A 25,572-nucleotide genomic window follows, 5' to 3' on the forward strand; every position below is an offset into this window, starting at 1 on the left:
GTGAGAATGACAGACTTTGGGATAGTTCAAAGCTGTTCTCATGTCTCCCCTAGGATCCTTCTTCCCCAGACCCCTCAACTTTATCTTCAAAGACATGACTTCCAGACACCTCAATAAAAAGTATTGAAAGACCCTGTTTCTATAAAGTCATGGGCATCTCTGATGAATTAGAAAATTCAGAGACTCACTCCCGTTCTCTGAGTGTTCCATCTAATCAGGGGTCATTGTACCCAGAGACTCTTTGGTGGCTCCTTGCACCCAAGCACTCTGTAGCACTCATTAAAGAGAAGTGTTTCCAAAAAACAGCCTGAAACCAAACTGCTCATGAGCCCCAGAAGTGCCCCCTCCCCTCAACATGGTAGCCACAGGCTGCCTGGTATCCTGGGGAGCCCTAGCAGGTCGGAGCTGAGGGCATGACTGGGAAAATGCTGACTCCTCGGGCTGGGACAGCACCAGAGAGCACTTGGACTTGGGCCCTGCAGACTTGTGAGTAAAACTTACTTCCAGGCTTACTTTGGAGGAGGAGCTGCTGGGCTGCGCCCTGTGCAGAGGTGAGAGTCCCTGCAGTGGGGCCAGAACACTCAGCTGCCAAGCACTCCTGGAGGGCCTCAGGTGTGCAAGGCCCACCTGTGATCATGAAAGTGGGAATGCAGGCAGCAGGGCAGTATGGGCTGTCAGGGTCAAGGTTTCCACCCCAAAATGCCAAGGAGGAATGGGCAGTGTTGCTGCCTGCATTTCTTGGGCCTTTCCTGTGCCCAGACTCCTCCAGATCTCAACCATCTCTTTCAAGACTCTGGAAAGAGAGCGGGCGCTGCTCTCCTCTCCACTCTCAGAGGAAGGACATTCAAGTAGAAGGTGCTGCAGAGGGAGCTCCTCTGAGAAAGGACTAGGGGAGTGTACTGTGAGCAGCAATCTGGGGCCGGGTCAGCGAGGCTGGCAGGCTCAGCTGCCCTGCCCCAGCAGCTGGCAGGCAGCAGGCCAGTCTCGTAAGTAGACTTATGAGCCAAGCCCACGAGCCTGGGGTGTAAGTCACCTAGAGGGCCATGCCCCGTTCCTTCCAAGAGGACCTCATCTTTAGGTGTCTGGCATATTCTTGTCCTGCGGACTATGTGCAGAGGGAGCTGAATTTCCAGAAGTTGCTTGTGGAACTCAGAATACGGGTGTGGTCATGGGAAATGCAGGCAGCAAATGCACATGGCATCAGGTTAGAACCGTCTAATGCCCCAGTTCCCCAGCTACACCAACCCTGGTCTGTTCTGGTGCAGGGCCAGGCAAGCTGAGTTCTGGGACCAGCCCCTCCTGCCCACTGGATGCCTGCCTCCTGGCTCTTCTGCACCTTGGCAGTATCAAGTATCGTAGAGAGGCTTTGAGTAGACAGACACTCTGGGCCACCTACCGGCCATTTCATCCTGAATATCTTTCATTCCTTTTTTTTTTTTTTTTTTTTTTTTTTTTTTTTGAGACAAAGTCTCACTCTGTCTGCTGGAGTGTGCAGCGGTGCAATCTTGGCCCACTGCAACCTCCGCCTCCCAGATTTAAGCAATTCTTGTGCCCAGCTTCCCAAGTAGCTGGGATTGATTACAGGCGTCCACTGACATGCCTGGCTGATTTTTGTATTTTTAGTAGAGACGGGGTTTCGCCATGTTAGCCAGGCTGGTCTCAAACTCATGGCCACAAGTGATCCGCCCACCTCGGATTCCCAGAGTGCTGGGCGTGAGGCGTGAGCCACTGCACCTGGCCCCCTTTCTTCATTTTTATAGTCCTAGTTTCCACATACATAAAATGGGGATAATAATACATGTCTGGGTATAATACTTGTAAATCACCTAGATTAACACCAGAAAAAGTATGAGTGCACACTAAACACAACAATAATAATATATGCTATTGTGTCCAGAGTTGGTTCCTGGTGGGTTCGTGGTCTCACTGACTTCAAGAATTGAGCCACAGACCTTCGCGGTGAAGAGCAAAGGACAAAGCTTCCACATGGAAGGGGACCCACCGGGTTGCCCTGGGGTGGCCAGCTTTTATTCCCTTATTTGTCCCCTCCCATGTTCTGTTTTTGTCCTATCAGAACGCCCTTTTTTCCATCCTCCCTGTGATTGGCTACTTTTAGGATCCTGCTGATTGGTGCATTTTACAGAGTGCGGATTGGTGCATTTTACAGAGTGCTGATTGGCGCGTTTTACAGAGCACTAATTGCTGCATTTTATAATCCTCTTGCTAGCTACAGAGCGCTGATTGGTGCATTTTACAGAGTGCTGATTGGTGCATTTTACAATCCTCTTGCTAGCTACAGAGTGCTGATTGGTGCATTTTACACTCCTAGCTGCAGTGCTGATTGGTGCATTTTACAATCCTCTCATAAGAAAGAAAAGTTCTCCAAGTCCCCACTCGACCCAGGAAGTCCAGCTGGCTTCACCTTTCACTATGACCTCTCTAATAGTAACATATGCTGTGACATCTATGATAATAGTAAGTCAGTGAGGGTGAGGGCACCTGCAGCACGGCCTGGCCGACTCCTGCCCCTTTGACCTGCTTCTCCCCAGATGTTCACATCGGATCAGCTCATCCTCAGCTCTTGATGGCCTGTGAGTTATATGGCTTTGTTAGGATTTCAGCGTTCCTTGATCTGATCCATTATGTGTGTGGTGAGCAGAATAATGGCCCCCAAAGATGTCTATGCCCTAAACCCTAAAAACTCATGACTATGTTACCATACATGGCAAAGAGAAATCAGGTTGCAGATGGAATTAAAGTTGCTAACCAGCTGACTTTAAAATAAAGAGATTACCCGGGATTATCCAGGTGGGCCCTGTGTAATCACAAAGGGTCCTTATGAGTAGAAGAGAGAGGCAGAGGAGAAGGTCAGAGTGGCATGATGTGAGCACTCCCCTTTGAAGATGGAGGAAGAAGCCTCCAGAGAAGGGATGAAGGCAGCTTCTAGCAACTGGAAAGGCAAGGAAACAGCTTCTACCCTAGAGCCTGCAGGAGGAACCAGCCTTGCAGATGCCTTGATTTTGGCCCAGTGAGACCACGTTGGAGTTCTGATGGACGGAACTATAATATATTTTTATAGTATGATGCCACTACATTTATGGTCATTCGTTATAGCCATAAACAACTAATATGTGTGTTGATATTACAGTTTAGTGTCCAGGGTATAGAAGTATTCTTATCCCCAAGTTCCTAGCAGACACCACTCTGTTACCAGCACATTCCATGGACTCAGGGGCTCATTCGTCTTCCTGTGTTGGAGCAAGTGCTCTGAAAAGGCTACCACATGGAGGGCCACTTTGCAGACTCTGTTGTCAGGGAGGGAAGCAGACGACCCCCAAGGAAAGCAGAACATCCAAACCTCGCACACAGAGCTAATGGTAATAATAATGGAATGAGAATTCATTCTGATTTTGCCCATTTGGATTCCTTGAGCCCTGTGTCTGAAAATTAGCTGTGGTTGCCATAACCTTAATTATACTCAGCAGGGCAGAGTTGCTTGCTGATTTATGACGCACAGTTGTGACCTGGGAGTAGCTGTCATCCTCAGCTGCTGACACGGACACGACAACGGCGCTCTGTGTCTATAACGGGGAGTATCAATTACTTTCCTGCAGCAGGAAGAACAGCTCAGAGTCTTGGAATGATCTGGACAGAAACGTTAAACACTTGTCTCGTATAAATTCAGCCCACATCCATCTGGGCTCATTAAATCATTGAATTGCTCAGAAGCACCAAATTACATCTTTCTAACAAATTATATTTTTAAAGCTGCTTGTTTATTTCACATCTGGAAGTTGAGGCAAAAGCCAAAACTTGCATTCAAAGTCTGAGAAATCATCTCGCCCTTTGCCTTCCTTTCTTTCCTTGGGGAAGAGAGAGGAGGAGCAGGTGTTTGGAAGAGGTGGAGGATGGCAGAAGGCCACAGGTAGGATGGCGCTGATCCTGTGGGCCCTCGCAGCCTCAGTTTGTGTGTATGCTGTCTGATTTCACAGACCGCTGGCTGCATCCCGGCAGCCATCTGTCCTCCTTGAAGGAGGGCCAGCAGGAAGCCCTCACAGAGACGCTGAGCTGGGAGGAAGGAGGTGCCTCCGCCTGCCCTCCTTCCTTCCCGCCTGCATGTCCCTGAGAGCAGAGTCTGGTTCGCCGGCAGATAGCCCATGGGAACCAGTCCAACCATCGTGCACCCGTAGATGCTCTGAGACACTTAGAGTTGGCTGGTATTCGGGACTGCGACCCAGAACCTGGCCTGTTCTGCTTCCCCAGGAGTAGGAACACTGCACCCCCAAGTCAGCCTCAGGAGCCCATCCTCCATGCCTCCTCCTCTTGCCAGCCTGGTGCAAGCTGGGCCTGTGTGCCCAGGGGCTGTGCACTCCATAGGACTGGGCCTTGGTCTCCTGTCTGCACATTTTTCCTGAGCCTGGCACCAAGCCAAACTGCCCCAAAGCCATGGCTTCTGCGCCCCAGGCTCTGTGAACACGTGGGGTGGGGAAGGGCAAAGGCTTCCTCCCTGAGCATGCACTCAGCTCGATTTTCAGACACCAATGTGCAAGCATTCCCTCCCAGAGCTGCTGAAAATCCACATTCCCTAGTTCATTCCCCCTAAGTAGTATCAAGTAGGTCCAGGATGGGCCCAGGGAACTGTGGGGGGTCCTGAAGTATGTGAGCCACACTTGGAGCAGGTGTGCAGTAATCCCTGTGGCGATGGGGCTTGCAGACTGGTGCAGGAGGCAGGATGGGTTGGGTAAACAGGTGAATGGCTGGGCAGTGGAAGATGGTAAGAGCTGGGAAAGGGCAGGCCCGGCGTGGCCACACAGGGAAGGGCGTTCTGGGCAGAGGGAGCAGCATATGGAGGAGCCCTGAGGTGGGTGCACCTGGGGTCGCTAGGGCGCGGCAGGGCAGAGCTGGTGGAGTGGGAAGGGCGCAGTGTGGAGGGCCTGGGAATGCTGGGGCGTTTAGACTGTGGCCCCTCCTCTGAGAGGGATGGGGACTGCTGGAGCCCTCTGAGCCTTTGCCCAAAAGGAGCCTCAGCTGTGAGGCAACTCAGTCCAAGCAGGGTGAAAGCAGGAGGCCCAGAGTGGGCAGCCGCCAGGACCAGGAGCCACCCACAGGAGACCTGCACGGAGGCCACCAGGGAAGGCATCCAGAGCCGCGGGGGCCGTGTCTCCTAGACAGCCTCGGCGTCTGTGGAGATGGGTACCCGGGCAGTCCAGTGCTGGTTATTGAGTGCCTTCGCCCTGCCAGGCCCATCTCGGTGCTGCTCAGCAAAGTGGGTGTCTGAGGGACCGTCAGCCAGGGGTTTTTAGGCAGAGAGAATAGCTGCACCCTGCCTGCCACAAAATCCACCACATGTGGGATCTGGGCTTTAGATGTGCGGTCCAACACCCTGGTGGCCCAGGGGCATCTTCTCTCAGCCCTTACTGCACAATCCTCACCCACAAAAGGGCTGGGGGTGCAGGGGCCCAGCCAGGCTTCGGGCAAGCATGCCCCTGTGGAGTTTCCCCAGGGCAGAGGGAGGCCCAGCTAGTGGGAGTGGGGATGGGGCCCTGCCTGTCAGACTCTAAGCATAAGGGCCGAGGGCACAAGGCCCAACTGGTTCGTCCTTGGCAGTGTTTTAGAGGAAGGCTCTCCTGGGGCCACCACAGCTGCTTTTCAGCCTTGTTCCTCCTCCTCTGTGGCTTGCAGGATGGGTGTGGGATAGCAGAGCAGGGGGGTGTGTGTGTATGTGTGTGTGTGTCCTGTCAAACATAATCATAGCCGGACACTAGTGAAAGTAGTCAGACAGGTTTTAATCGGCAACATAACTGACATTTGCAATGGGGAATAGGGTCCAGGCTGAGCTGAGCTCAGGTTCAATTGGCACACAAGTGACTGGGGGTTTCCAAGAGAGAATGAGGGAGCAGGGAGGCAGCGAGTGGGGGCTCAGGAGAGTGGGGGAAGTGAAAAGTTACAGATGGTGGAAGCGGGTGGTCCGTGTGAACACATCTGGACATGCTGACGTGCTCACTGAAGTCAGGAGACAGTGTGTGGCTGTCCTCAGGTGTGGCTGGAACCCACAGTCGATTCTTTTGGCTGCCGTGAGGTTTCTCAGGCAGGCACTTTAAAGGGGACTGGGGTCAGCCTAGGGATGCCACCTTGAGCTGTTAGAAGCTATGTTAGTGGTTGTTCAAGTTGTTATAGGCAGAGGTGAGGCCCAGCCAAGAAGAGGGCTCAGAGGAGCCAGGCTGGAGTGTGGTCGAGGAGAGAACTCTTGGTCAGTGCCACAGCTAAGTGTTGCCAGGAGCACCTGCCACAGCCCAGAGAGCCCCTGGGGTGCACTCAGAGCTCCAGCACCTGCCACGCAGCACACCCCATGCCCCTGGGTCCCTGCAGGCGGAGGCCATGCAGGGAAGACCCCAGGGAAGGCTCCTGTCTCTGATTCCACACTACAGCATATTGGTCTGAAGACAGGGACTCCAAAGAGGCCTCAGAGGCTGCAGGGGGCCCAAGTCTTGTGGAAATGAGATGTGGGGAAAGTTGGGCCTTATTGATGTTGATGTTGTGGCCTCAGCCAGTTCCAATGCTAAGGCACTGGGAAAAAAATCTTATGATTTTTGGAGCACATTTAAAAATAAGGACAGGTTAGGCACGGTGGCTCATGCTCGTAATCCCAGCACTTGGAGAGCCTGAGGCCAGCGGATCACTTGCACTCAGGAGTTCAAGACCAGCCTGGGCAACATAGCAAGACCCCATCTCTACAAAAAAAAATTAGAAATTGGCTGGGCATGGTGGTATGTGCCTTGGTCCCAGCTATTCGGGAGGCTGAGGTGGGAGGCTTACTTGAGCCTGGGAGCTCAAGGCTTCGGTGAGCTAGGATCATACCACGGCACTCCAGCCTGGGTGGAAGAGCAAGACCCTGTCTCAAAAAAATAAGGACAATTTACATAAACAATGTTCCAAGTACCTTTCACACATCACATTGGGCCCCAACCTGTGAGGTGGTGCTGCAGTTGAGGAGCGTGCTTTTCAGAGGAACCTGCAGAGGGAGAGGTGAGGACACGAGCCCAGGGTCTTGACACTGGGATGGGGCAAATGGGGACACAGTTTTTCCTGACCCTCCCCCGCCCCTGCCCCTGGGAGGCCGCAGTCTAGGTGGGTGGGCCAGGGCAGGAGCGTGGATATGAGATGGGGGGCTGTGCTTGGGTGGAGAATCTTCAAGGGAGTGAAACAGTCCAGCTTCTTCGTAGATCAGCGTCTAAAAGGACAGCAGGGGGAAATGCCTTTTAAATTTTTTTTATTAAAAAATGAAAAATTTCCAGAGTTTTGAAAAAATTAAAAATAAAGATAAATAGAAATTGTATAAAGTGGGAAAATAGCAGCAAATAACAATAATTTACACCGAGGGAAGAAGAGAAAGCACGACCCAGCAGATGGAGATTGTCTGTGTGGGGCTCACCCACTGTGCTGTTTCCCCAGGTACCGCGTGGTGGTCTCGTACCCACCCCAGAGTGAGGCGGAGATCGAGCTGAAGGAAGGCGACATCGTCTTTGTGCACAAGAAGCGTGAGGACGGCTGGTACAAGGGGACCCTGCAGCGGAACGGCCGCACAGGCCTCTTCCCGGGCAGCTTCGTCGAGAGCTTCTGAGAACTGGTGCTCCCTGCACCCAGCTCACAGAGGGGGAGGCCGCCTGGGAAGCTCCACGGCACACAGAGAGGGAGCCATGGCGCCCCAAGGGTTCCAGGTCATCTCCAAGGCACCTGGCGGGGGATACCCTGGCCCAGGGTGGGGGCCAGGGACTGTGGAGGTCGTGCCTTCTCCCAAAACCCCCAAACGGAGAGCACACCTGGGATGTTCTTCAAGGAAATGCCCACCCCCTCTGTGGAAACTGCAAAGAAAGCACCTTGAGGAAGAGAGGCAGGTGCCGGCGCAGGCAGGCCTGTGGCTGTGGTTTGCAGCCATGGCAGCGTTCTCATTTACCACCTAAGCAGGGTTGGAGGTTGCAGGAGGTCTGCAGGCGAGGTGGGTGGCATGGGGGCCAGGAGCGCTGGAGATCATCTTTCTGGGCTGCCCTGGGCTTCCCGCGGGGCCCAGGTTGCTCTGTCACCATTCTATATACCTCAGTCACCTGCCGCCCGGCTGCTCAGCAGGGGTGTTTGTGAGGCCCTGGGGGTGCCCCGGAAGGGGCACCCCACCGCCCCTGTTGGGAACCAGAGCAGAATCTGTGGGCTTGTCGCCTGCCAGTAGTATAAGCAACACTTTCTGTTCACCACCATTGTCCCTTGCATTACTTCTTTCTTACAGCATATTTTTAACATAAAGCTGTTAGACTTTATATATTTCTAATAGGTCAGACATTGCCTATTTTTCATACATCTGGTGCTGCCTTTTTGTAAAACTAATAATGACTTGGTTGAGCTTGAAAGAAAAGATGTCTGAGGCGACATCAAAGGGGCAGAATTTTTATATTTCCCATATGGCTTTGGGAGAGCGCCGAGAAGCCGCCATCCCGCACCTCAGCGCTGGCCAGTACTCTGGGGGCTGGCGGGGTGGATCCATTGAGGGGGTCGGAGGGAGCTTGGAAGCAGCCGGTTTCTTTAAACTCTTACCAAAACCCCGCGCTCTGTCTAGACGGTGATGATTATTATTCAAGACCTGGAAACATTTCGAGGAAGGGCCACTATAATTGTCCTTTTGTGTGGCGGTAGAAGGAGCACGCAGGTCAACCCCAGCCGGGAAGGCAAAATCTTCCCTTTATTGCCTCAGAGAGAACTGCAATTAGCATTCTCAGAAGATGATTTCTTGGTATCAAAATGTGCAGTTTCTACAACAGTTTAGATCACCACCACCATTTTTCTTCTTTTTTAAAAATAAATAACTGCTCCCATTTCAGGCAGTGCAAACCTTCATCTGCTGGAGACCAGAGGTACAAGGAGATCAGGGGGTTGCAGCACCGCTGCAGGCTTGCAAGATCGGGGAGTTGGGAGGGCGAGAGAGGAGGAGGTGCAGCTTTGATGCTGGGACCTCCCTGAGTGGGGCTGATGAATGTATATTCATTAGCACCATGGCTCACTTCCCAGGAAGACTGATCAGGAGCCCTTCAGGGACAATTTTGTTCTCAAGATTCACACCTTAGGAACACATTTTTATCACCTCAAAATTTTGATCCATCACCCCTCTCTCCACCTATATTTTTACAAATACCATTCAGACTTAAATTAAGCTGAAGAAACTAGCCTTTGGTAACATAGGGTGTCATTGGTTTTCAGGGATGTAACCAATTCCAGAAATACATTCTTTTGCCTGGCATGAAGACTTTGAAACACGGGCCGCTTATTTTCAGAGTTCCTGTTTTGGGACGTGACTTGGCTACTTGTTACTTCCAGGTGGTCACCACACGGCGGGGGTCATGCCTTTCCCTCCCCCAAGATGATAATAGATTTAATAGACTCAAAGAAGTTGTTCAGAATCAAAGAAGAAAAAGTCTGGCTTAAACATAGTAACTTCTGTGTGCCAGGTTAATGACAACCAAAAGCTCTCTATTTACCATTATTGCCAAACTTCATCAGTTGCCCATCCTGCACCAAAATCCTGTGCGTGTTTAAATTCACGTTGTCACCAAAGAGGTGCACAGATCAACAACCTGGATGACGCAGGTGTTCTCCAGGGAAACCAGACCAAGTCAAGTCTCCAGGTAACTTTTTTGAAGTCTTTTTTTTAAGGCGCGCAGGTACCAAGCAACAGAATAGAGTAACCTGAACGTTCTTACTCTCCCAGGCATGGCCCACGTGGTGCTTCAGGTAGAAATGTGCTTCACCCTCCTGGTGGGGGGCGAGGACACAGCCCACTGCATGCAGCATGGTAGAGAGCTGGGGCGAATATCTCCATGTCTTTGGAGGATGTCAGCTGGCCGCTTTCAGGGCAGAGTCGGGTGGGCGTTGGTGCCACCTTAGGAAGGAGAGCGATGCGTGGGTCTGGCCAGAGCTCTGGAGCCAATGCCGGGCTGCCTGAGAGCAGAGGAAATGCATGGCCCATGTGCATTTCTGAGTATTTTAAACTCGTTCAGGCCCTGCAGCCTTCATGATGATGTAGCTCGCAGAGAAGAGCAGGAGCAGAATTAGCCCTTTCTTCAGGCCATCTTGCCTCAAAGGGTACACATGTTTGGCGGTTAAGATGAAACTAACCCTTATGTTTCATCCTGGCCCCATGATGTACACATCTTAGCCATGTAGTGGCCTTGGGGGGCCACAGAGATTTCCTTTGAGGAGCATGGTAGAGTCCACAGCCATGGCTGAAGTCAGTGGACACCGAGGGGACAGGACTGCAGGCCACCAGGGGCCTCTGCCCAGAGGGAGGCAGAGAGGATGGCGGCCACGGGTGCTCTCCTGGCATCCTCATGGGGTGATGCCAGGCCGGGCACTTCAAAACAGGCTCAGCCGACTGGGAGATCCTTTGTACTTTGCACAGTTCACACACACAAACACACACACCCTATCCCAAGTGTTTTTGTTAGACACAAATGTCAGCGTGTGATTTTGGAAGACTTGTCAGTGATGACAAACCATGATGCCTGTGTTTCTGAGTCTTTAAATAAAAATGAACATGGAGAAGGCTTGTGTCTACGTGTTGGGAGGAGCAGGGTCCAGCAGAGGCCAAGAGGGACCCAGGTAGGAGCAGAACCTGAAGGTTTGGCCCACCTGCCTGCTGACCAGCCCAGCTGGCTTACGCACCTGCCTCTCAGTGCTCTTGTGTGGGGTGCACCGAATCTGTATCAGGATGGCATTAGTCAAGGAGATGGGAGAGTCGTGACATCAAATGTCTGTACCCAGCACATGCCAGAGACCCAGGAGCTGGGCAGTAAGAGCCAAGCCACAGAAGCCAGCGGTGGGCTGGGTGGGGAGGGTCTCCAGTTCCCCTCTAGGGGCTCATGTGCCTGGAAGGGCAGGGTGGCTTGCTGTAGATGACTCGCCTCCTTTTCTTGTCATTATTCAAGTCCTTCGTAACCAGAAGTGCCTGGTATTAACCTCGGAGACCAGCACTCTCCTGGTCTTACCCTTGTCTCTCTGGCCCTTGGGGCGCCTGAGCCATGGCTGCCATTCCCTGGAGCACAGGATGGGGGTGCAGGGAATCCCACCAACAGAAGAGCCCAGGAGCCCACTGATCTCCAGAGAGGTGCATCTGTCTCCAATCAGCCAGCCTGACACCTGGCAGAGGGCTGGGCCGCCAGCCTGATCCATGCCTGGAACCACGTGTTTCTTGAAACAGGCTTTCACTGTTCTCTTGGCTGAGACACATCTACGTATACATTTGAGCTGGAAGAACACTTAGCAAAGAGCCATTTTACTCTACCATAAAAATTAAGTGACCTTGCCAGGCAGTGGTGCATGCCTGTAGTCCTAGCTACTCTGGAGGCTAAGGCAGGAGGATTGCTTGAGCCCAGGAGTTCAAGTCCAGCCTGGGCAACATAGACCCTTGTATGAGCAAATAAAATAATTTTTTTTAAAAAAGTGAACTCGTACAAGATTAACACAGCATGGACAGTCACTGGGGAGGTAGCTGCAGGCCTGGCACTGTGGTAAGGAGGCCTGCTGTGTGCTCACTCTCCCTCCGGACAAGGCTGTGTGGATACCACTCTTGCCTCCATTTGCTACGTGAGCAATCAAGGTTGTAAGAGGTTAAATGAATTGCCCCAGGTCACATAGTTCAGTGGACAGCCATGACTCAAACTCAAGTCTACTTATCCAATGTCAAGTCTACCCTCAGAACTCAAAAGCTGGGTGCCAAACCTGTACTCCCTAATAGAATTGATACCTCAAGCACAAGAGTGTAGGAAGAGGAGAGCCAGAGGAAATGCAGGCAATGCCCATCACAGTCTGTCTGGAGAGGGTGCCTGGCAGGCCGTCCCAGCCAGCTTGCCAAGTGGAGGTATTCTGCCTATAGAAATTACACAGCAACCCATCAGGGCCTGGTGCCGTTTTACATTCAAATCACGTACTTCACTGCCTGTTTTCCAGATCCATGCTCCTAAGCAAACAAGTAATTTGCCTTTACTGATTTAGCAACCACAGAGAGAACAGTGGGAGTCAGGGCATTATCTGAACAGTAGTCTACCACTTGGCCTGTGTAGCCGAGATGTTCCTCATTAGCCGCCAGTGAGCTGGGCCTTCAGTTGAGGCCTCAGTCCCTGTGGGTTTTGTGATGGGAGTTGGTATCCCTGCCTCTAACTGACACTGACAGGTGGTGTACCTGAACTGCGGAGGGGCGTTGAGTCTTCTTTCTCGGGAGAAAGGCTCCATGGCCAGGCCTATGCTGGGAGCTGCAGGGTGAGCCAGGAGGGTGAGCACCACTAGCTCTCAGCAAAGCTGCAAAGACAACACACAGGTGGCCATGGCACAAGACATTTGATCTTAGAGAGGCACCTAAACAACCTTGTGAGGACCCTGGAGAGAGGGAGCCACACTCCTGGAGGCCTCCCCTGGGGCCTTGCAGAGGGTGGGGCAGGACAGGGTGGGGGCTTCTCAGATGGAGGGAAGGGAGACTATTCACAGCCTTTTATCTGCATAGAGTTGTCACATATGTTATGTCACTGGATCCTTACAACAGCCCCCGAAGTGTGGTTCGTATCATCTCCATTTTACAGGTAAAGAAGCTTGATTCCAAGAAGTTCTGTTGTTAGCTCTGAATTAAATCAGAGGCAGAGCCAGGACTTCTGACTTCCAATCTCTGGCTTTTCTTGAATGTAGCAGAAATACTAAAATGATGGTTCTGACAGGGGGCTCTGCTGGTAGCACTTACCACCTAATGAGGTGGGACTGCTATCATATTGTTTCAAAGATGGGGAAACCGAGGCACCACCATCCAATGCTTGGTGTGAGGCCACATGCTAGGTCAAGCTGTGGTTCAGCCCCGTGCTCAGCCACCCCACACAGAGCAGTGGGAGAAGAGGAAAGGGCCCAGGGAGGCCTTGACGGCTGGGCAGGGTCCATGCCAGTCCCGCAGTCTTGGGGGCTGGAGGCTACAAGTGGAGACTGTCCAGGAGTGGTCGGCTCTGAGCTCTACCTAGGGGAGAATGGCCTGGGCAAAACGCTAGCAGGGAGGAGGGTCTAAATGCCTCTGCCAGTGCTGAGACCCTAAATGCCAAGACAGAGCACAGCCCCTGCCCACTGCCACGACGTCTGTGCTGCCCTGAGATGCCAGCTGAGGCTTGAGATGCACCCCCCTTCCCGAGCCGGCCCCACCCCTGGCCGGGCCTCACAGACCAGGGACCGTCTTGGAATCGGTCAGGACCTTCTAGGGCTGAGCAGTCTGTCGGAGTTCTCTTCTCCCTTCTGTTTCATGTCACCCTTCCAGGGGGTTCCCTTCACTTCTCAAAGAAGATCACATTCAGCTGACCACAAGGGAAACATCTGGGGCCTGTGAGCTGTTGGAGCCCTGCTTCTGTTCCGCCTGTGGTCCCAGCATCTGAGGCTGGCTGAGTTCTGCTGACTGTCCTCTCTGTGCTCTCCTCCAGCACCAGAAGCAGTGGTCTCCATCTTCCCACAGTGATAGGAGCCTGTGCTACCCAGCCTGTGGCTCCAGAACTTGACCCCTCCCTCAGTGAAAATCCTGGGCTCGGCCCTAAAGCCACACCAGGGTCAGCTGGTGTTTAACATGGTAAGGGTTAAATCCCAGACACCCAAGAAAATGGCAGCAGCTGTTTGTCCAGGGCCCATCATTTGAACCTGCCCCAAAAACCAACTGGAATAAGTCAAAAGAGGACTTCTTGACTCAACTGAAAAGCTGAGGGCAGACAATCAGACGTGTGCAAATGATGGGGCTGGTGTTCCATGAGGACACTTGGCATTCTGCTGGACCTAGGGATGTGGGATATCTTGCAATGTGTACAATCGTCCCACGTGGGCAAAGCCTGTCCTGTCCCAAATGCCAAGAGTGGTGGGTTCACTAAGAAACGCTGGTGTAGATGAGTTTGCTTCAGGCATAGCTGGGTCCAGGTGCTCACATGACGTTTGTGGGTATTGCTGGGCTCTGCTGCCCTCCACGTGGCTCCTTCCTCAGCAGATTTCCCCATCTTACAGCACAATGAGGACCAGCAGGTTCAGGGTGCCATCTGACACCTTCCCCATCCCTGCAAAAATAGGCCTGCTCCTTCTCCATGGGCCCAGCCAAAACCCTGGCATTGACTCTCACTGGCTCCGTTTGGGCCCGTGCTGCCCTCCCTGACTCAGCCATTTTGGACAGGGGACATGTATATACTGATTGATAGCGCCTGAGGTGTCAGCCCTGCCCAGACTTCATGGATTGAGAGTGGGGGTGAGAAGATACACGTAGAGCTATTGGCAAAAACAAAAGGAGCTCATGACCGGGCAGACAAAAACTGCAGACGCACACTCCCCAGGGCCGCTCCTCCAGGACATTGCCCTGGAACCCCATGGCACTGTGCAAAAGCACGCGTCTTCCGAGGGCCACCATACCATATTTAGGAAAATGAGATATAAAAACTGGATCTAAAAGAAGTCCCAGAGGAAACGTCAACAGACGTGGACATCATTACAAATGTGAAGAAAGAACTCTTTATTTGGAAAAAGTAACGTTCTGTAATGTTCCAAAAAAAAAAAATGGAAGCAGATGAAAGCCTGGAGACAGCCAGGAAGTGTCACATGGGACACCCACTCACCACACCCCTCGATGGCCTGGCTTCACCCACTCACTTATCAGATCAGTGAGCAGTCACAGATGAATGTAAGTGCTCAGACAGGGCACCCCAGATAAGGCATGAAAGGAGAGACACAGCTGCCCACCCCAGCCAGAGTTCACATCTGGAGAGGAAGGCAAGCCGTGTGGGTAGTCATGGACTCGGCAGTCTGTGCCTGAGGAGCAAAGGCGCTACAAGCCCGGGACGGGGGGATGCAGTCCACTCCATGATGGGTCCCAGAGCGCTTCCTCTGGACGTTCTTGGCAAGAATACACAACACCAGCACATGAGTCAAGGAGCTCACAACCAGCTTACCCATTCCTGCCGGGAGAAATGGAAGGAAGTGCCCATCCGTCAGGGTCACACAGGACTTGCCTGGGTCTGGGCATCTTCTCTCCACCCCTTCCCACTCTACTCATTCATTCAACAGCTACTTCTGCTCTGGGCCCAGCACCAGGGTCACGGAGATGAATCCAGGCAAGAGGACCCACCTCATGTATTCAGGCCTTCCTGGAGGTCTGCCTGGTGGGGCCCAGCCGCCTGTCAGATTATGCGGTGTTTGGTGCTATGGAAAGAAGTGTGCAAACCCACGTGCCTGTATCAGTCACTTAGGCTGCCATATCAAAATACCATGCACTGCGTGGCTGAAACAACAGAAATATATTCTCTCAAAGTGCTGGAGGCTGGAAGTCCAAGGTTGAAGTTGCAGCAGGGTTGGTTTCCTCTGAGACCTCTCTCCTCGGCTTGCACACCGCCGTCTCCTCACTCTGTCAAGCAGCTGTGGCGGGTCGTCTTGCCCGGATTCATCTCTGTGCGTCTGTATCCAGTGTTCCTCTTCTTTTTAAAATGAATTTGTGTAAATTTATGGGGTGCAATTTTGTTACATGCCATAGTGGTCAAGTCAGGAGTTTTAGTGTATCCATCACCCGAATAACATACATGACATGTCCCCTTTAAGCAATTTCTCATCCTCCACCCCCTGCACCCTCACCCTTCTCACAAGGACACCAGTCAGGCCAGATTAGGCCCACCAATGGACTCATTTTAATTTAATCTCCAAGCAGAGACACACGCTGAGGCACTGGGGGCTAGGACTTCAACATATGAATTTTCGGGGAACATAATTCAGCCCATGTGCCTGTGCTCATGGAGACCAGGTCATAATGAAGTCAAAAGTTAAATTAATCAAAATAACTAGGCGATAGCTACCGGGCAAATACTATAGGGCAAAGTACTAAGGGATCGCAGGAAACTCTTATCTAGTTGGAGAGGTGAGGGGCATGGAGGGCCACTTAGAGGGTGTCCGGGTCTTATCTGGACCTCCACACTGTAGTCTTGTTTAGAAATTCACAAGGCAGGAAGAGGGGAAAGAATGTTCGGTTGGCGGGAACGGTGTGTGTGCACACCCCAACCCGAGGCTGGGGAGAGCTTGGCAGGATCAAGAAACTGAGGGAGCCCAGAGCAGGTGTGGAGGAGAGGGCTGAGGTGAGAATGGCCAGGGGTAGGTCTCTGAGCCTTCCAGGCCAGAAGCAGGAGGCAGTGTTTCCTGGGCTCTCAAGGGGTGTTTAGATGCAAACTGTGTCGGGAGCTCCCTCTGTTGGTGGCACAGGGAATGGCTCGTATGAATGTGGGAAGCTGGCACAGCAGATGCTGGGCAAAGGGCAAGGCGTCTCTGCCAAGGGGGCGGTGAGGGCATGTGGGGGAGCAGACAGCCCCGAGGGTCCTTTGACAAGTCAGTCCGATGTGGAGGCCGAGGGGAAGCCTTCCACATGTCCTAGAGGGAAACCCCGAGGTAGCTCTTCTCACATTTGTGCAGTGACTACCAGACTGAAGGAACCCCGGTTCCATCCTCACCCTCTGCAGCCCAGAGGGCTGATGGGGTCCAGGGCTTCATTTCTGTTCCTAGCCGGGACCAGGGGCTCTGAGCACCCACAGCCCCTTCCCAACAAAACAGCCACTTGTGTGTGCCATGGGGTGACCCCTCCTCCCTGCCCAGCCTGGGCTGGGGAAGGGCCCCGTCTGACCAGGAGCTGGCCTCCTCCAGCTAAAGCCAGGGTGAGCAGAGTGGGGCCCATGCTGGGTGACTGCAACAAAAGCAAGAGAGGCTTTCCTGCAGGGGAAGCGGCAGAGAGCAAAGGTGGGACGGGTGGCCGGAGCTATGGGGAGTGGGCCCTTCCAGGAGCCCCTGGCCTCCTCGTGGGTGCTGAAGATGGCAAGTGCGTGTTAAGCATGTACTAAGCCCACCCTCTGCGCCCGCCCCATGCTTAGCACTCTACATCCATTGCCTCGTTTTTGTCCTCACATCAGGCTTATGAAGTAGGAATTATGACCATGCAATTTCACAGATGGGGAAACTGAGGCAGAGAGCAGTTAACCAACTCGCCTCAGGAAGGGGCAAAGAGGTGCGGCACCTAGGATTCAAGCACTGGCAGTCTGGCTCCAAAGGCCGCACTCCTAACTCCTCAGCCTGTTCTTGGCCTCGGGAGGCCTGGCTGATGTCAGGGCCATTGACACTTGTCCCTGTCTGACTTGCTGTGACAGTGCTCCCTGAAGCCTGACTCGGGACTGGAGAATGAGGTCCCACAGCCACAACAAGTTCTCAGCTGTCCTCTGTGGCCTCTGATGACAGCACCAGGTGGCCCAGTATACCACATGCCCCCATCTGGTGACAACATACTCTTTGATCAAAAAGAACAAAAAGTTCTCCCGCAATCCAGTGTGCCTCTGGTCAGGCCTACAGGCTGGCAATTGGTGGCCTTAGGGGTGGTGTCCTTGCAGTCAGGCTGGGAGAACCTGCCCACCTGAAGGTGCCTGGACCACATGGCAATCAGCTAAGGCCAACCACTGTTGTGGCAAGGCTCAGATCACCTGCAGAAGGTGGGAGCCTGCAGGGAGGAATAGGGAGGGGCACAAGCCCTGGGGTCAGGGGCAGGTTCTAGCCCTGCTTCTGCCTCCAGCTGGCTTTGTGACCCAACGTGAGACCAGGGCCAGGGCTGGCCATCTACTGTAAGTCTTTTCTATGGAATTGCTCCACAAGTCCTTGTCCACACCCTCCCTGCATTTTCATGGCTGCTGCCCCATGCCCCCAAATAAGGAATGGGGGGTGGACAGAGAGAGAGGTGAGGTCCTGCATCCTGGGAGAGCACACCCAGGAGGCCGAGGTGGGGGTGGCCCATGTGTGCCTCCTGGCACCCAGTGTGGTGCTGCCCACAGCAGGTGCCGATGCACACGTACTGCAGAATTGCCCTAGATGGTGTTGCTGCCCAGAGGACTCTGGGACTCCCAAGTGGGAGTTGAGCTGAGTGCCAGACCCATCTCCAGGGCACACAGGAGTCCCATCATGTGTGATAATAAGCTTTCTCTACAACTCTAGTGGGGGCTGTGATATCTGTCTCAACATCCAAACACTTTTAGGGGGCTTGTCCGCCCTCCTCGGCCTGCTGGAAACTCTCTTCCTGGCTCTGGCCTGGGACCCTGGCCCTCCTCCTGCTGGGCCCTGGCCCCACTGTCCTTTGCTGCATGCATGCCTTGGTGACTGACGTGTGGGCCCCATGTGTCCCGGCCCTCCCTGCCCTGCATCCCTGCTGCTCCCAGGGTGCCCTCAGTGTGTCCTTCCTCCTTCTTCTGATGCCCAGCAAACCACCTGATGTGCTGCAGCTGATTTCACCTCTCACTGTGGCCTCCGCCACCCTCCTGCCCCCTCCTGAGTCAAGCTCCAGGTATGCCCAGGGATGGTCCCAGGCTGCCTGGGGGTCCACTCTGTACCGCGCTGGGCACCCAGGGATTTTAACATCACAAGTCCCCTCGCTACCCTCCCTGGTCTACTGCATCTGCCTCCTGGTCTCCTGGTCTTCACTGTGTGTCTCTCTATCTACACTCCAGGTTTTTCTGGGACATTCTTGACTAGACCCGGCTTGCTGGGCCTCGTGGGAGGCAAGTCAGCCACAGAGGCTGAGCAAGAAAGAGAAGCCGGGCAGGCTGGGCACCCTGGAGAGCCCTCAGGTAGCATCTTTGACTTTCCCCCTCCCAGGTGCTCCTGTCTCTCCCAGAGCCTCCACCCTGGGTGCCCCAAGACCTAAGACCCCTCACATGACTCTGACCCTGACCCCTCCTCACCCCCTCCTGGGCCAGCAAGGGAGCAGCCGCCTGCTATTCACCTCCAGTTCTTCAGGTCCACCATGACTTTGGCCATTGCCATGGCAACCATCTTGCACGTGGGTGGCCTGGCAGCCTCTTTCTGTCCTGGGTGGCTTCTCAGTCACCTAAGGGAGGGAAACCTGCAAGAGCCCACACAATACTTTCCCCTGCACAGAGCTGAAGGTGCAAGGCCCGAAGGAGCCAGCGGACGGATGTGCTGCCCTTCCTGGGGCAGTTCTGAGGCACCCCATGCCATGCCACCCCAGCTCCTTCCCTGGCACAATGCCCCGACCTTCCACTCCCGTGCCCTGGAATTTCTTCCCAAAAGAAAGCACCTGCACAGTAGACCTGTCTCAGCACCCAGGCCCCATGGATTCACACCTGACACACCACACACACCTCATGTGCATGCACACACATCCCACATGCACACACCCCACACATGTACACATGCATGCATATACTCCACATGCACACACCTCACACATGTACACATGCATGCACACACCTCCCGTATGCACACACTTCACACATGTACACATGCATGCACATACTCCACATGCATACACACTATATGCACACCACACACATCACACACGTGCACATATAGACACTCCACATGTACACACACCACATGTACACACACCACATGTACACACACCATACCCACATGCACACATTATATGCACATACACACACACTGCATGCACACACCACACAAGCCACGTGCATGCACAAACACACGTCCACACACTATATGCACATGCGCACACATCACTTGCACATTTGCACACACACCCTTCTCCCAGTTCTAGGACACCTGCGTAGATGAGGCTTTGCAGGAGGAGTGCCACAAGGGAAGGAGGGAGGTGGGTGCCCATGGAGGCTGTAGTCTGTGCTGCCTCACCTCCCCAGAGCCAGCCTGTGGCTACAGAGGATGTGGCCAGGGGTGTAGGGGATTGGGTATCACCAGCAAACCAAGCCCTCACCCACAGCCACATTCTAACTTCAGCATCCAACAAAGCACTTCAGCTACCCCAGGGGGACCACCGTGATGGTGGCCGATGAGCAAATCCTAGAAGAGCAAGCAGCCGGGTGGAGCCCAGGCAGCCTCCTGGGCCTGGGGGCCTTCTGGTCCCCAGTGAGTCTGCGGCTCCATGTCAGAGTTCTCCTCACCACTCAAAGCTAGAACGGAGAAGGGCCTTAATGTGGGCATGTTCCCACGGTCCTTAGAAAGGCAGTAAGCCTGGTTTATGTTGCTCCATCAAGTGCTCTTGCAGCTCTGAGGTTTGGTTGAAACTTAAACTCAGCATCAAGCTAGCCGGGCCAGATTCTGAGCTTATGTAACGCCCTGGAAACTCCCATGTGCTGGACTGGCTGTTTCTGGAATCTTATTATGATTCATAACTTGGTTACGGCTCTGAGCTGGTAAATACGGAGTTTCTGCTGTGGACTCAGAAAACCACGTTATAAAACACAGACCAGGGCTGTTAGGAAAACGCAGCCCCGGGTGTGCGAGTGCCCACAGCTGCAGCCCATCCGCCCACCGCCCCCAGGGCTAGTGAATTATGACTGTGCACAGCTCAGACCTCCATGGATGAAAGGCAGACTCACAGGGCCCTGTACGAGTTCAGTGTGGGGCACTTGGCTGTGTGTTGGAACCAGCCTGTGTGCAGGCCAGGCGGGATGCCGCAGGGAAGCCCTGGTGTGGGACCAGGGCCGTCCCTAGAGTTGGGCTCTTTCCCCTGTGTACAGACCCCCACGCAGGGACCTTGAGCCTGCAGTGCTCTGCCAGAGTGGCCTCAGGTGTGGCTACAGCCTGGACTGGAGTTTTCCTTCCCCTCATTTTTCACTTTCAGTCGCTGTGGGACCGATTGGTCTCTGGACTCTTCTTGCAGCTTTATTCCATGGTTCGAGGTCCACAGCTTGACTCCCTTGGGGGTTTGGGTGCCAGGGGAGAGGGCTGCCCCCCAGGCCCTGGGCACGGCGGTCACTTTCTCACTGCCTCCTCCTTTCCCTGGTCAGGTGGTGCTTCCCACCCTCCCTCCCTCTCATCTTCCCCCATGCCCCTCACACACTTCCCTCTCCTCAAGCCTCTGACTTCCATTAGCCAGAGATGCCTGGGACATGGAGCCAACCACATCTGCCAACTCTCATGCCCAGAGCCCTGCCCTGGGGCCTGAATGCAAGTCCAGGGATGACCTTTGCCCTGGAAATCACTTGTGGCCTCTGTCTGCTGGGCATAGGGTTTACCGCACATGCTGGATGTGGGTCCAGGTCTGCACTCAGCCTGGATGACCAATGGCGGCCAGGGCCAGGAGGGTTCTCCAGGCATTGGGAATAGACTAAATGGAAACTCGGCGGCACCCAGCACCCCATGATGGCGAGCTTGGCACACCCCTTGACGCCAAACAGTGTGCCCCACATGATTCAGTGTAAGTTGAGGAGGGAGGGCCTACAGGCAGTGGCTGAGAGAAGGGGGCCTGCAGGCTGGGGGCAGAGTGGCTATGCCCTCCCTGGAGGGTCCGTGGGGGATGTGGAATGTCCTGCCTATTGCTAACTTGCTTCATCTCATGGCTGGCCAGACTCCAGGACAAAGCCCTGGTGGAGTGGAGGACAAGAGCCATTGGCAGTGCAGGCCCTTCCTTCCCTTCCTAGGCCCCAGATCTCAAACCCACCTCCCCACTGAGGACCTCAGGAGAGCGCCTCATCCCCTCAGCCAGATCTCCAGCACCCCAAACTCGGCCATGGCTACAGAGACGCTTCTTCCCAGGGTAGGAGTAGTAGTCTGTTTTGCGTTGCTACAAAGGAATACCTGAGGCTGGATAATTTATCAAGAAAAAAGGTTTATTTGACTCATGGTTCTGCAGGTTGTACAGGAAGCATGGCACCAGCATTTGCATCTGGTGAGGCCTCGGGAGGCAAAAGTGGAGCAGGAGGGGTAGGGGCCGTGGCGGACTTTTTCAAACGATCAGATCTCATATGAACTAACAGAGCAAGAGCTCACTCATTACCGCCAGGAACGCACCAAGCCATTCCTGAGGGATCCGCCCCACGACCCAAACACCGCCTGCCAGGCCCCATCTCCAGCACTAGGGATTGCATTTCCACCTGGGGTTGGAGGGGACAAACAACCAAACATCCAAACAATATCAGCAGGGATTCTTTGTGCTAACTACCTGCTTAATGCTTAGCACTCAGCTCCAAGGTCTCTAGCTGAGTGGAATGGTTATGATTCAGGGGTCTTCCCTGGGCTAAGGGGCATGGGAGCAGCCTATGAGTCCTGGAGCCCCCAGACACCCTTGAGTGGGCTGCTGAGCCCACCAGGCCTCCTGGCACTCTACAACACATGGGCCCGAGCAGGTGATGTGTGGCCCATGCTGGGCCTGAAGGACCTAAGTCCCACCCCCTGTGCCCAGGGCCTGGGGGGCAGCCCTCTCCCCTGGCGTCACTGATGGTGCTGTCTTAGGCCAGAGTCTCCTCATCTGGAAAATGTGGCCATGACGGGACATGTTCTGAGGCTTAAGGGTTTGTAAATGCCTGGTGCAGGAGAGGTTCCACTGGCACAGAAGCACGGGCCTACAGCTGGGGCTGAGCACTTAGGCCTGTCCTGATATGCGGACACTCAGTCTCCCAGGCTGTGGCCACCGGGTCACAGAGAGCCCGCCCTTCCTCAGGCAGGGCACAGGCAAGGCGGCTGTGAGGGCCGCCACTGGAGGGCGTGCTGGTCCCACTCCAGCCACCCCAACGCAAGGGAGGCTTTCATTACTGAAGAAGTGGGAAGGAGGCGAGCCCGTGTCTGGCCTCTCGCAGGAGCCCCCAGCCCCAAAGCAGGGCTGGCGTGTGAGGCGCAGGTAACTGCAGTGCAAGCGGGATCCCCTCGACCGAACAATTCAAATTAAGGGCAACTTCCTACCTCTTGCCTTCAGATGAAATCTGCTAAACGATGGCTGCATTTTCCAAAACTGATAGATCAGTTACTTTCCCACGATATTTTTAGTGCAAAGAATGGTTAAACACTGCTCCTCATCAGTCTCAGTGGATCTTGATGCCAGAGGTAGGGTGGGCAGCATGGCCCCCAGAATTCCTGGCCTCAGCAAAATGAGCCCCAGCCCAGTCCTCCAGTGTACAGTTCGGGTAAGGGTGATCGCAGCCCTACCCACTAGGAACACATGGCTGAGCTTTGCTCCCCTGCAAACTGCCTTCCAGGAACACTGGCCAGCCCTCACCCCACAGGCCTAGAACCGGCCAGAAACACTGAGTTCTGGGGGACTGGTGTCCCTGTACGAGCCTTAGAAAGGGTCACCCGGAATGTGCAAAGGGTATACACAGAGGTCCCGCCCAGCCTCTGGAAGCTGCTGTCCTCCCCTGTTGCCAGCATCGCCCGCCCCCTCCCACGCCATCGCCCATGACTTCAGTGCCCCTTTGTCTCCACACCAGCCCCCCTCTTTATCCCCGGACTGTGCGGGGCCTGGGACTTGGTCCATGCTCAATAAAGCCTGACAGGTTCATTGGTCATTCATGTGTCAACCTGAGGCTTGCAGGAGTCTCTGCTGGAATCTTCCGGAAGCTGCCGAACCACCGCAGCAAGGAAGGCCGGGTGAGTGAACAGAGTCCAAACACCGCAGGTTCGGACCTGTGAACCCCGCCTGGCTGCTGCTTGCTTCAGCCCTGTGCAGGGAACAGCATTAGAGCAATGGCTGCACTCTGACGTTGGAATCCTGCCCAGGCCCTCCTCTCATGGCCCCTTCACAGCTCAGCAGGGGTGTGAGCTCCACGCCTGCAGACCCCACGGCTGTCTGCCTCTGCCTGAGTTCTTTACTGCTCCGTCCTGGGCTGGGTTCTGGCTGGAGGTTCTGATCCCACAGGGCTGGGTGGGTGTCCCAAGTGCCCACCGTGCAGCACAGGCTGACACCCAGTGCTGTCGAGAGCCTGGAGCACACCCACAAACACGAGGCCTGGTGTTCCACAAGGACAATGCCATCCCCAGGTGACTAGGAAGCCTAGATAACGACGCCCGAGGTCTTTGCAGCTTTGTGTGGCCTGCAGGGTCCCAGAAGGTGCAGCTGCAGAGGGTATGCCCCCGATGGGAGCTCGAGTCCCATTTGAGAACTTCAGAGGAGCAGACGTGGATGAAAACAAGTGGGCTGAGCCCAGGGGCTGAGGCCCTGCAGATACGAGCTGCAACTCGCTTACCTGGTGTGCAGCCATGAAGCCACAAGCTACAAGGTCCGCTTTTCTAATTGGCGGCATTTGAATCCTTGCACACATCTTGCAACAACAACTCACAGGGTAAAATATAAATAAGTGTGGGCAATTGTTTCTTTTCTGGTTTCCTTCTATTCAGCATGAAGTTGTTTCTAAGCCTTCCAAAAGGGCTGTTCCTACACATCTCTTGTTTCTCCTCCTACACAGGCCGGCCCTCCAGGGTGAGGGCATCAGCTGTGTTAACTGAGCACGGTGCTGGGCCCTTTACTCCATCATCTCACTTTACAAGCACCCTATGAGGACTCTCATCATGGTCATTTTACAAATGGGAGAGCAGGGGTTCAGAGAGGTTAGGTAGCTTCCCCCAGGGCTTACAGCCAGCCAGCAACTTAACTCAGTGTCTGCAGACCCCAGAGCCTACGGCCCAGCTCCACAAATACCGCAGCTTCAAGTCTGTAACTCCAACAGGGGGCATCTGCTCTAAGAACCATTGCCTTGTTGCTTCTGCTGGACATTCCCACCATTAGCAGCACTAAATTGTAAGTAAAGCAAATATGTGCATACTGAATCAAAATTTCCAACTGAACTTTGTTGTAATTTTTTTTAATGCATTCTCACAGAATGTGTTTTGGGTTCTGTATGAGTCCATTCTTGCACTGCTGTAAAGAAATACCCAAGACCGGGTAATTTATAAAGAAAGGGGGTTTATTTGGCTCACAGTTCCACAGGCTGTACAGGAAGCAACTGCTCAACTTCTGGGGAGGCCTCAGGAAACTTACAATCGTGGCAGAAGCAGGCATATTTTACATGGCCCCAGCAGGAGGAAGAGAGAGGTGGGGAAGGTGCTACATATCTTTTTTTTTTTTTTTTTTTTTTTGAGGGAGTCTCGCTCTGTCACCCAGTCTGGAGTGCAGTCATGCAATATTGGCTCACTGCATCCTCCGCCTCCTGGGTTCAAGTGATTCTCCTGCCTCAGCCTCCCAAGTATCTGGGATTACAGGTGCCCGCCACCATGCCTGGCTAATTTTTGTATTTTTAGTAGAGACGGGGTTTCACCATGTTGGTCAGGCTGGTCTTGAACTCCTGACCTCAGGTGATCTGCCCACCTCAACCTCCCAAAGTGCTGGGATTACAGGCTTGAGCCACCACACCCTGCCTGGTGCTACACACTTCTAAACAACCAGATCTCTCCTGAGAACTCTAACACGAGAACAGCACTAGGGGGATGGCACTAAACCCTTAGAAACTGCCCCCATGATCCAATCACCTCCCACCAGGCCCCACCTCCAGCATTGGGGATTACATTTCAACACGAGATTTGGGTGAGGACACGATCCAAACCAAATCAAGTTTAATGCATATTTGTTACTGTGTGATTTGCCCAAACTTGTAGTTCTAGGAACATTGACCTGTATGTCATCCTGTTGTTAAAAGAACTGCACCTCAAGAGAGAGGCCTCAAGAACTCAGCCCTGGCTGGGCACCAACTGTGTCCCTACAGTTGCTGGGGAGATCATACTGGTCTCCAGGGTCAGTTGTGACTTGAAAATTCTGTTTACACC

The 25,572-nt window shown here is 53.8% G+C and overlaps 2 protein-coding genes across 4 annotated transcripts in view, besides 4 other annotated features; both read left to right on the forward strand.

Moving 5' to 3' along the window:
* Window positions 1–10,584, forward strand: part of SH3RF3 (SH3 domain containing ring finger 3) — a 375,430-nt gene extending 364,846 nt beyond the window's left edge. For all 3 annotated transcript variants that reach the window (NM_001099289.3, XM_047444144.1, XM_011511110.3), the window contains one exon: window positions 7,453–10,584. In NM_001099289.3, coding sequence (NP_001092759.1) covers window positions 7,453–7,621 — 169 coding nt within the window. In that variant the 3' untranslated portion in view covers window positions 7,622–10,584. The remainder of the gene's footprint in view (window positions 1–7,452) is intronic.
* The window catches only part of RANBP2 (RAN binding protein 2), a 1,122,820-nt gene that overhangs the window by 774,569 nt on the left and 322,679 nt on the right, over window positions 1–25,572 (forward strand). The window lies entirely within an intron of this gene.
* Window positions 13,443–13,552: an enhancer, noted in NCBI's record as "active region_16364". NCBI's record gives its function as "activates an Ori minimal core promoter by ATAC-STARR-seq in GM12878 lymphoblastoid cells {active_cell/tissue: GM12878}" and the evidence as "EXISTENCE:reporter gene assay evidence [ECO:0000049][PMID:35858748]".
* Window positions 19,800–20,049: an enhancer, noted in NCBI's record as "active region_16365". NCBI's record gives its function as "activates an Ori minimal core promoter by ATAC-STARR-seq in GM12878 lymphoblastoid cells {active_cell/tissue: GM12878}" and the evidence as "EXISTENCE:reporter gene assay evidence [ECO:0000049][PMID:35858748]".
* Window positions 22,231–22,470: an enhancer, noted in NCBI's record as "active region_16366". NCBI's record gives its function as "activates an Ori minimal core promoter by ATAC-STARR-seq in GM12878 lymphoblastoid cells {active_cell/tissue: GM12878}" and the evidence as "EXISTENCE:reporter gene assay evidence [ECO:0000049][PMID:35858748]".
* Window positions 23,487–24,026: an enhancer, noted in NCBI's record as "H3K4me1 hESC enhancer chr2:110275114-110275653 (GRCh37/hg19 assembly coordinates)". NCBI's record gives its function as "activates a minimal SCP1, AML or CMV promoter by ChIP-STARR-seq in naive H9 embryonic stem cells {active_cell/tissue: H9 hESC(naive)}" and the evidence as "EXISTENCE:reporter gene assay evidence [ECO:0000049][PMID:30033119]".

Source organism: Homo sapiens, chromosome 2 (genome assembly GCF_000001405.40).
Source record: "Homo sapiens chromosome 2, GRCh38.p14 Primary Assembly".
Lineage (NCBI taxonomy): Eukaryota > Metazoa > Chordata > Mammalia > Primates > Hominidae > Homo > Homo sapiens.